This window comes from Homo sapiens, chromosome 17, assembly GCF_000001405.40.
Source record: "Homo sapiens chromosome 17, GRCh38.p14 Primary Assembly".
Classification (NCBI taxonomy): domain Eukaryota; kingdom Metazoa; phylum Chordata; class Mammalia; order Primates; family Hominidae; genus Homo; species Homo sapiens.
This window is the reverse complement of record NC_000017.11, coordinates 12,454,819-12,466,821: the sequence shown is the minus strand read 5'-3', so window position 1 is coordinate 12,466,821 and position 12,003 is coordinate 12,454,819. Positions and strand designations below refer to the sequence as shown.

The 12,003-nt window shown below is 38.8% G+C and overlaps 1 annotated feature.

The window, feature by feature from the left end:
* Nucleotides 11,167-11,779: an enhancer, noted in NCBI's record as "NANOG-H3K27ac-H3K4me1 hESC enhancer chr17:12358360-12358972 (GRCh37/hg19 assembly coordinates)". NCBI's record gives its function as "activates a minimal SCP1, AML or CMV promoter by ChIP-STARR-seq in primed H9 embryonic stem cells {active_cell/tissue: H9 hESC(primed)}" and the evidence as "EXISTENCE:reporter gene assay evidence [ECO:0000049][PMID:30033119]".

Genomic DNA, 12,003 nt, shown 5'->3' with positions numbered 1-12,003 from the left:
AACATTGCCAGCATCTGTGACAGAAAATAAAGAGTTCATGCTGCCTCTTGAAACTTACACCTGGATTAATATGTCACATTTCAGTGACTAAAATATGACCATGCTAATAGAATTTGATGGAACAGAGACGTGGACCACCACCACATTTCTTAAAAAAGAAAGAAAGCACCCTCATACCACACCTATCACACAAAGAACTAGGAGATATGTAAATCAGGTAATACTATCCCCATTTTAAAAATGAATATATATCCATGAAAGGAAGAATTGATAAGCTGAACTTTATGAAAAATAACAATTTCTGCTCTGCAAAAGATACTGTCAAAAGAATGAAAAGACAAGCCACAGACTGGGAGAAAATATTTGCAAAAGACACATCCAATAAAGGACTCATATAAAATATACAAAGATCTCTTAAAACTCAACAATAAGAAAACAAACAACCTGAATGAAAAATGAGCAGAAGATCTAAACAGACACCTGACCAAAGAAGATACACAGGTGGCAAGTAAGCATATGAAAAGATACTCCATAACATGTCATCAGGGGATTGCAAATTAAAACAACAATGAGACACAAATATGCACATATTAGAATGGCCAAAATCCAAAACACTGACAGCATCAAATGCTGGTGAGGATGTGGAATAACAGAAACTCCCATCTGCTTCTAGTGAGAATGTAAAATGGCACAGCCACTTTGGAAGACAGTTTGGTAGTTTCTTACAAAACTAAACAAAACACACTCATATCATACAACCCAACAATCATGCTCCTTGTTATCAACCCAGGTGAAAACACTGTCTCCACAAAAATCTGTACATGGATGTTTATAGAAGCTTTATTCACAATTGCCAAAAACTTGAAAGCAACCAATATGTCCTTCAGTAAGTGACTAGATAAATAAACTGCGGAACATTTGATGCATGGCAGGCAATTCCCAAATTGGGGCTTGGCCTTGGAGGGTTCTTGGCTTCACTTAGGCAAAAATTCAAGAACAAGCTGATGGTAGAAGGAAACAGCTTTATTAAGGTGGCAGTGTTATAGCTCCGTGACTGCTCCTACAGAGAGGAACCACTCCCTACATGGTGTATCAAGAGCAGCAGCTCAAGGGCAGCTCTGCAGTCAGATTTATATCAACTTTTAATTACATGCAAACTAACGGGTCTATTATGCAGAAATTTCCAGAAAAAAAAGGGGCATAACTTCCAGATAATCAAGTCATTGCCATGGAAAGGGGAGGTAACTTCTGGGTGTTGCCATAGCAATGATAAACTGATGTGGCACTGGTGGGCATGTCTTATGGAGAGGTGCTTTTGCTTCCTCCATTTCAGCTAGTCCTCAATCTGGTCTGCAGTCTGAGCCTCACCTCTAGAGTCGAGTCCCACCTTTTACCTCACATCCAGACAATGGAATATTATTCGGTGCAAAAAAAAAAAACAAAAAACAGCTATCAAGCCATGGAAATAAATGGTGGAAACTTAAATGCATATTACTAAGTGAAACAAGTCAGTCTGGGCCAGGCGCAGTGGCTCATGCCTGTAATCCCAGCACTTTGGGAGGCCGAAGCAGGTGGATCACCTGAGGTCAGGAGTTCAAGACCAGCCTGGCCAACATGGCAAAATCCCATCTCTACTAAAAAAAAAATACAAAAATTAGCCAAGTGTGGTGGCAGGCACCTGTAATCCCAGCTACTTGGGAGGCTGAGGCAGGGAGAATTGCTTGAACCCAGGAGACAGAGGTTGCAGTGAGCCGAGATCCCATCATTGCACTCCAGTCTGGGTGACAGAGCGAGACTCTGTCTCACAAAAAAAAAAAGTCTGAAAAGACTAAATATTTTATGATTCCAACCACATGATATTCTGGAAAAGGCAAAACTATGGAGAAAGTAAAAAGATCAGTGCTTGCCAAGGGTTGGGTGAGGATGTCAAACAGGTGCAGCACAGAGGATTTTTAGGACAGAGAAACTACTCTTTGTGATACTGTAATTGTAGACACATATTATGCACTTGTCCAAACCCACAAAATGTATAACACCAGGAGTGAACCCCAATGTCAACTCTGAACTCTGGGTGATTATGTGTTAATAAATTGTCAATAAATTGTTAACAAATGTACCACTCTGGTGGATATTGGTAATGGAGGAAGCTATGTATGTGTGGGGGCAGGGAGCATATGGGAAATCTCTGTATCTTCTGCCCAATTTTGCTGTGACCTAAATCTCTTCCAACAAATAAAATCTATTAAAAAATGAATATATGTCTTAGAGGTTAAATGGCTTAGTTAAGGCCATACAAAAGAATGCCTTGCATACGGTAGATAATAAACGTTGAATAAATGAGCGAAAGCGTGTGTGTATTAATGAAAAAGCAAAATGATAAAAGCCAGGTTGCAAATACAGGTAACCTGACACTTGACATAGGGTTCTTTGTGTTTACATCATACCTCCTTTCAGCTCTCCTCTCACCCCTGCCCCCAGCCAGACCTCTAAAAATTATCTTCCACCCCACACCCCCAGGAAAGTGTCTGGGTTTTTCTTCTCTGTGTTTTAAAATAGTTTGTATTTCTAAGTTCTGGAACAACAGATGGCAGGCAATCATCATTGTACTAAAATACCACCACGCACACACAAACACACACACACATGTATGTGCACAAATCATTTTGTGTTGCTATAACAGAATACCTGAGACTTGGCAATTTATAAAGAAAAGAAGCTTATTTAGCACATGGTTCTACAGGCTGCAAAGTTCAGAATTGGGCAGCTGCATCTGACAGTTTGCAGTGAGGGCCTCGTGCCACATCAAAAGATGGAGGAGAAACAGAAGGGGAACCAAGTGTGTGGAAAGAGATGGCACAAAGGAAGTTGACCCACTTTATAACAACCCACTCTCTTAAGAACTAACCCAATTTCATGAGAAAAACATTAATTCATCTTAAAGACCCTACCTCCAACACTGCTACACTGTGGACCAAGCCTCAAAATGAGTTTTGGCAGAGCCAAATTATATTCAAACTGTAGAACCACAAATGTATAATTAGGTCAGCTATGGCATAAGGTAGTTGAAAGAAATAATAATCCATGTAATTTGGACTAAAAGAACTTCTAAGGAAAAAAGCATGATTAAGAATGTCCAAGCCCACAGACTGTTTTTATTTTGAATTTTGTTCCACTTTGGCAGTGATGCTAGGTTTCCAGAGATGCTACTGTCCTAAAGAGGGTTACCTGTGGTCCCTGGGGCTCAACTGAGACCCAGAAGACTGAAGAAATTAAAAATGGAGAGAGAAATGGAGAGACAGAGAGAGAGAGAGAGAGAATGAATAAAGAGAGGGAGAGACAACAGAGAGCATTTGAGTGAAAATGCCTCAAGTACCAAGAACAGAGAGAGTGAAAAATTCCTCATCTATGAGAATCAAAAACTGCACATGAGCCAAATACATCTGTTGAATGTTCCAAGTGACAAAATGCAGCTCAGAGAGAGCATGCACTGAATCATTTTAAAAATTCTTAAGAAACTTAACAAGTACATCTAGGCACAGCTCAAGAATGCACTTGGCTGGCTCATGGAAACATCCTGGGGATGTGATTCAAACGGCTTGGAAAATGCAGCCTCCTTGCTTGGATAATTCACCAGTGGAGGGGACAGAAGGCAGTCAAGGTAACCGTAATTGGGAGTTTCTTGGGATCAGATAAAATCCTCCAAGTTGTGCCTCCATTGAAGTATCAACACACTTGGGTAATGGCCTGTGAGGGGGAAGAATAGAGGAAGCAAAAGTAGATTCTTTTCTTTTACATTTTTAATTTATTTTTAGTGGATAATATAGTCACGTTTCAAAAATTTAAAAATACAAAGCAACACAATGTAAAAATATCCCACGGTGAAAAGTATACCCCCAGCTCTTCTCCTAATCACCCAATTCCCTTCCCAGAGTTACGGATCAATTCCTAGTATATTCATCCACGCATATTTTTATGCAAATGCAAGCAAATAAAGGAATAATAAAAATTGCATTAATTTTTCCTCCTTTCAATTCAAATAGAAACCTACTATTCAAACTACGATGCACCCTGCCTTTTTCAGTTGAAATAGAGCTTGAGATCAAACTTTAATACTGGACACATGTGGAAACCAGTGAAGTAACTCTATCTCAAATTGCTGTCATTTAAGTGCAGAGAATGAAAAAAAGGATGAATTCAAGTACCTTGCGAACTCAGTATATTCTGACTCTATACCCTTGGTGTGATATGTTTTAAAGATAAAAAGAACTATAAAGAAATCTGAATTTTTCTTAGTTTATTTGTTGTTTGGTAATATGGGGGTAGTTATTCTTAAACTATTTTGACTGCATTACAGAACAGAGAAAAATAAATTTGGAAAATTGAATATGGTCAGGAATCAAGGGCTCTTATATGAGAGAAGGGAAATTTTCAAATGGGTGAGATAACAATGAACCTTGTGTTGATGAATTAAAATGAAGAATATAAAGATAAACTAGCTCTATGCACAGACAAGGTCCAGGACTGTGTCCATGCTAGAAGTAATGAGTACACCTTATGAGTGCTTAGGTCTTCGTTTCTAAACTCTCTTATTCACTAAAAGGGGTTAGGAAATCTTGGGGAAATGGCTGTTTCTAGGTCAAAAGCAAAGAAAGTAAAAAGTGGTCTTGGAACATTTTATTATTGTGTGGGAAAGTAGGGAAATACTCAAAGACTGATACACACATTCTAAGGTACACAGGAGCCAGTCGAAGGGGCTTCTGATAATCAGATGTGGAGTAATTACAGCCTCCAAAATATAATAATGGATATTAAACATTTAAAATCAATTAGTGTATAAAGTCAAAAAAGGGAGAGAGTAGGACTCTTCTTTCAGAAGAACACCAAATAATAAAATTAGAAAGGTTAGATTTAGAAAATGACTATTTTTCCATATCCATTGTACTAATTAATTAATTAAGGCAAGAATTAACAGAGACTGCAGGCTGTAAGGTCGCAGGGCTGGTCCAAATCTAAGATTTTATCATTCAAGTTAGTAATTTTTTACAAATTTCCTTGAAGTAGCAATCAGACTCTACTGAGTGAAATGTTAACATATTTATGTGGTCTCAAAACACACCTCAGATGACGTATTAGTTTGCTACGGCTGCTGTAACAAAATGCCATAGACTGGGTCACTTAAACAACAGAAGTTTGTTTTCTCACAGTTCTGGAGGACAGAAGTCCAAGATCGAGGTGCCAATAGGGTTGACTCCTTTTGACCCCTCTTTCCTTAGCAAAACAGTTGTCCATCCTCTTCCTGCCTCTCCCCATGGTCATCCCTCAGGGGCACATGTCCCTGGTATCTCTTGTGGGTTCAAATTTCCTCTCCTTATAAGGACACCAGTCAGATTGGATTAGAGCCCACCTATATAACCTTATTTAACTTTAATTACCATTTTTAAGACTCTGTCTCCAAACACAGTCATGTTCTGAGGTACTGGAGATGAGGGCTTCAGCATGCAAAGTTTGGGGGGACAAAATTTAGTTCATAATAGATGTCTTCCTAAATACAAAGGGAATTACAATGGAAAAGTCTGGCAGACACCATCTGAACCAAATAAGCATTAGCATTATCAAGAGCATATCTGTCATATTTTTCACAAAAATGTTTCATTTGAATCCGGTTGTGAGGAAACAATCAGATAAATCCTGATTATAAAAATTTCTACTAGACAACTTGCTGGTATGCTTCAAAAAGATAATTATTATGAAAGAAAAAGCCAGGGGGACCAAACTAGACAAATGGAAGCTAAAGAGACATGGTAATCAAATTCTAAACCCTGGATCTGGAAAAATAAAAGTCATAAATAATATTTTTGTGATAACTAAGAAAATTTGAACTGTATTTAATGATACTATTATTTCAATGCTAAGCTTCTTTAGGATGGTGCTGTGGCTTTTTATTTTGTATTGCATTTAGTGATACTATTGTTTCAATGCCAAGTTTCTTTAGTATGGTGCTGGAGCTTTGTATTTAGGGATGAAGGCCATGATGTCTAACATTTATTTTCCAATAGTTCCACAAAATGTGTCTGTAATTAACAATTACTGATTTAGATGAAAAGTATATATTTATAATATTTATAATAGCAATTCTACAACTTTTTTGTATATTGGAAATTTTCCAAATGTAAAGTTAGGGGAGAAAGAAAGAGATAAAAAAGGAAGAAAGAAGGGTGGGAGAGAGGGAGGTAGAAAAAGATAGAAAGAGAATATCATATCTTTTGGAAATAACTCTCTAAAGTCTCTATCATACATAAGATGTGAACAGGTTCTGATTTACACCTACATTTTTTTCATTATGTGGATAGCAGTTCTCTATTACTGAATAGTTTGTGTTTAATCTTTTTTTTTTTTTTACTACAAACAATGGTGTAAAATAATTCTGTATATAAATCTTTGAGCATGTGCAAGTATATCTTTAGGATAAATTCCTAGAAGAGGAATTGCTAAAGTTATTTCTTGATAACTGTACAGGAACACTGAATTCCTAGGCAAAAGAGTTATTTTTTCAATTAACTGATGTTCTGAATCAATGTAAAATGAGCTAGTTTTAAAAGCAAGCCTTCTTAATTTGCAGTGAGGAGCTGCTTTCTTTACCTTAAAGGTTTAATTCAGGGCTTGAATTATTCAACTTTAAATGCAAAACATCTAGCATAGTGTGTTATACAAAATGAATATGAGCATTCATCAAATGTGTTTGAATGAATGAGTGAATGAATGAATGAAAGCTTCTAGACACCAGGAGAATTAACTGTGGAACTATAAAATAAACATATCCTCCCATCCCACATTCCAAAGAGGCTGTGAGAATCTTAATGGCATCTCACTATAACACACTCACAAATTAGATGCTGAGACACATCTTCCATGGACCTCATCCAAGTCACCAAAATGACTTCCTTATAATGGACTCTCAAGACAGAATTATAGTGTAGCAGTTGGGAATTTAAAGTTTATAAAACACTGAATTCTCCAGCTCCTTGCCTACTCCCTCCTGCTGCTGTTTTTCTGTCTCCTGGTTTCTAATTTCTCCATCACTTTGTTGCACATCAAAACTATTTAGAGGGAATGGCAGATTTAGATTTCACTCCAGCCTGAGTCCGTTGAGGATAGACAATTAAGGGACCTTGAGCCAAGTCCCTTTATCTCTCTAAGTTTCCATTTTATCATCTGTAAAATAGAGGGGTTGAAACATTAATATTTCTTCCCATATTCTGTAGTTCTTTGGAGAATTTATGTTCTCAATCACACTATGAGTGGTATAACAACAACCACCACATATAAAAAGGGAACAAAATTTGCCTTAAAATGTCAACAAACATGGTGCAGCAAGGTTATTACACACATCAGAGGAGGAAGGTTTTTGTAAGTCAAGTTCCCAAATGAGCTTCTTCTTTGTCTAGTTTTAGTCATTCTGCAGGGAAGTGGGTGGCATACAAGTCTTGAGTATAAACCAGATCCCAAATTCAGAGGTCCATTGTAAGATTGCAATATGCCATCAGGAGCATGTATAAATCATTGTTTTTTGAGGGTTTGCCATCTACAAGTGTTTTGAGTGTTGATGCAGACTAGAAAACTTTCTGAACACAACCTCCAGTCCTTGGTGTGTGATCCTGTCTGAGTGAGCCATCCTAGGAAATAAAAGACAACGACTCACTTAGTTGCTTCTCAAAACTTATTCCCCTGGTGGGAGCTATTTATTATCTATCAACCCTTAGTCAGGTATCCTTAACACTGCAGTTATCCCCGCAGGCCAAGACAGTTTGTCTCAAGTAATCACACACTATGGTGTTCATATTTTAAAAGAAGAATTAAAAATGGATTTCTAGAGTAGAAGAACCAAAGTAATAAGGAGGTTGAGAAGTCATCTTTTCCCAGGAATATTTCGAGGTCTGGCATGTTTAATTCAAAAAGAGAGATTAAAGAAGGAAGATGATAGTTGTTTAAAAACACACGAAGAGCTATAAACAAGTAGTGGCTTCCATGAACAGGTGGAAGATACATGGAACTTCTTTTTTTATTAATCTGGAGAGCAAAATGTCAGGAGGTAAAGTTTTCAGAGTGGCAGATCTTGGTTGGTTTGATGAAGGACTAATGATCTAATTAGAGCACCATCAGAGTGATGATCTTCTAATAAAAAGATATCCCTAATAATAAAATAAACTTTCTGTGACTTATCAAGTTCCAAAACAAGTAAGAAATTAAAAAAAATGTTTGATAGCAATTTTCAGGGATGAAAAATTGAAGGTAATTCTCTCTGGATGAGAGACTTGAAGTTAGTAAATTCTAAGAGTTGGTCCAAAGTCAAGATCCTACAATACTAGTAAGTAATTTTTGACAAATCTCTATGAAGTAATAATAAGATTTTAATATTTTCTTGTTCATAAAAATGGATAGAAAATAGAATTTATTGTTAGATTTTTCAAATTAAGAAAAAAAGCAGAATGTGATAATCCATGAAGAAAATTAAAAGTAATGAAATAAGAATACAAAATTTATGGTCATGCAAATGTATCATAGCAAAAACAATGTGTGAAGGTATATCAAAGATGAAAAAGATCCAATAGTTACAAAAATGTAAATATTGCACAGAAAGCTGCAATATTATGACTTACTGAAAACTGAAGGCTATTTTTTCCAAGAACTCAAAATACACATTTTATTATAAAAGAATTTAAAACTTTTGCAAATCTCAAAGTAGCATAAAAGGAAATAAAAGGAAAGCATTAAAGCAATGAGACAAGAAAAGGAAATTAGAAGGTATATATATTGAAAATGAAGATGTACAACATTTTGTTCGCTAATGACATGATTATCTTTGCAGAAAATCCAAAAAAGCTGACAAAAGACCTCTTGGAACTAATAAACAATTATAGTAAATTTGCAGGATCAAGATTAATTACAAAATACAAGCACTTTTCTAAATACCAGCAATGAAAAAGTGGAATCTGAAACCTAAAATATAATACCATGAGCAAGATTGCAGAATAAGAAGCCCTGGATCCTCCTCGCCACCCCCCATGAATACACTAATGCAATAACAATTCACAGACAGATTCCCTTTTTGAGGAATCCAGAAACTAGTTAAAAGCTCCTGCACCCTTGGTGAGTACAATCCCAGCTATGCTGAAGTTGACAGAAAAATGTGAGATATCTTCTTGCCACAATTCTTCCCCTCAGCAAAATGGCATACATTTGGGACAAAGCCTTCCAGGTCTCAGCTTCTCCCTGGTACAGGAAAATGGTGTATTACACATCCAACACCCCAACTTTTAGGGGACTATCCAGAAGACTGGCTTCTGTCTAGCCTGCTTCAGGGCACTGAGGAGACACAGGACATGGGATAGTCTATCTGCCCAAGGCCAGTAAGAGCAAAGATCATGTTTTGGGCTGGCAGTTACCAAAGTCACTCTCCCTAGCTCAGCACAGAGTTAGGAGTAAAAGAGTTCCAGTTCCCGCCTTCTCCCTGGGAAGGGAAAGAGAGGCACCCCATGTTTAACAACATGGCTTTCCTGAGGGCTAGCCAGATAACCATTTCTGTCTAGCCTGTGTTAGAGTGCTGACAGGACATGGCATGCTCTAGCCACCCAAAATTAAGAAGAGCAGAGATCATGATTGAGGCTGGCAGGTGCCATAGCCACTCCCTCCAGCTTAGCACAGAATGAGCAGATAAAAATCTCAGCTCCTAGCTTCTACTTGGGGAGGAAAAGAGGTACACTGTGCATCTAAATACCCAACTATGTGGGGCCTGCTTGAGGAATTGGCTTGTTTCAGAACACTAATTAGATTTGGTATATTCTAGAAGTCTGAGGGCCACTAAGAAGAAAGAAAGTAGGAGGGACTAGCAAAAAGGTTTGCGAGATCTCCAGAATCTCTGATCAGGCTGATTGGTAGTCTTCTCGAGGACAAGGTTAGTTTGTGAAGAGTAGGAGAGGTTGCTGTTTTGTCTAATGTGCAGACACCAACACAGAGTATTAAGGAAAATGAAGAAACATAGAAATATTCTTCAAACAAACAAACAAGATAACTTCAGAAACTGACCCTCATAACATAGAGATATATGGATTTTTTTGACAGAAAATTCAAAGTAACCATCCTAAAGATGCTCACCAAGGTCAGGAGAGCAATATGTGAACCAAATGAGAATTTTTAAAAAGAGATAAAAAACTTTAAAAAGTACCAATCAGAAATCATGGGGCTGAAGAATACAATAACTGAACTAAAAAATTCACTGGAGGAATTCAACACTGGATTAGACTGAATGGAAGAAAAGATCAGCAAAGTTGAAAACAGGTCATTGGGAATTATTCAGTCAGAGGAGAAAAATGAAAAGATAAAGAGAATAAAGGAAGTCTGAAACGTATGGGACATCGTCAAACAGATTAATATAAGTTTGAGAGAGAGAGAGAGAGAAAGAGAGAGAGACTAAAAAGTTTGCTCAAATAAATAATGACTGAAACTTTCCTAATCTTGGGAAGAGAATGAACATGCAGACCCTTGAAGTCCAAAATACCCCCAAAAATTGAACCCAAAGAAATCCACACTGAAACATTATAATCAAATTGTCAAAACTCAAAAATTTGAATTTTGAAGGCAGCAAGACAGAAGGGACCTGTTAAGTACAAGGGAATGCCCACATGACTATGTGCATATTTTTTAGCAGAAACCTTGCAGGCTAGAAGGCAATGAGATAATTATTTGAAGTGCCGGGGGAAAAATGCCAATCAATAATACTATACCTGGCAAAACTGTTCTTCAAAAATGAAGGATAGATAGGCTTTCCAAGAGAACCAAAAGCAGAGGGAGTACATCACCACAAGACCTGCCTTAGAAGAAATGCTAGGATCGGGAGGAGCCAAGATGGCCGAATAGGAACAGCTCCGGTCTACAGCTCCCAGCGTGAGCGACACAGAAGACGGGTGATTTCTGCATTTCCATCTGAGGTACCGGGTTCATCTCACTAGGGAGTGCCAGACAGTGGGCGCAGGCCAGTGGGTGCGCGCACCGTGCGCGAGCCGAAGCAGGGCGAGGCATTGCCTCACCTGGGAAGCGCAAGGGGTCAGGGAGTTCCCTTTCCGAGTCAAAGAAAGGGGTGACGGACGCACCTGGAAAATCGGGTCACTCCCACCCGAATATTGCGCTTTTCAGACCGGCTTAAAAAACGGCGCACCACGAGACTATATCCCACACCTGGCTCAGAGGGTCCTACGCCCACGGAATCTCGCTGATTGCTAGCACAGCAGTCTGAGATCAAACTGCAAGGCAGCAGCGAGGCTGGGGGAGGGGCGCCCCCCATTGCCCAGGCTTGCTTAGGTAAACAAAGCAGCCAGGAAGCTCGAACTGGGTGGAGCCCACCACAGCTCAAGGAGGCCTGCCTGCCTCTGTAGGCTCCACCTCTGGGGGCAGGGCACAGACAAACAAAAAGATAGCAGTAACCTCTGCAGACCTAAATGTCCCTGTCTGACAGCTTTGAAGAGAGCAGTGGTTCTCCCAGCATGCAGCTGGAGATCTGAGAACGGGCAGACTGCCTCCTCAAGTGGGTCCCTGACCCCTGACCCCCGAGCAGCCTAACTGGGAGGCACCCCCCAGCAGGGGCACACTGACACCTCACACGGCAGGGTATTCCAACAGACCTGCAGCTGAGGGTCCTGTCTGTTAGAAGGAAAAATAACAAACAGAAAGGACATCCACACCGAAAACCCATCTGTACATCACCATCATCAAAGACCAAAAGTAGATAAAACCACAAAGATGGGGAAAAAACAGAACAGAAAAACTGGAAACTGTAAAACGCAGAGCGCCTCTCCTCCTCCAAAGGAACACAGCTCCTCACCAGCAACGGAACAAAGCTGGATGGAGAATGATTTTGACGAGCTGAGAGAAAAAGGCTTCAGACGATCAAATTACTCTGAGCTACGGGAGGACATTCAAACCAAAGGCAAAGAAGTTGAAAACTTTGAA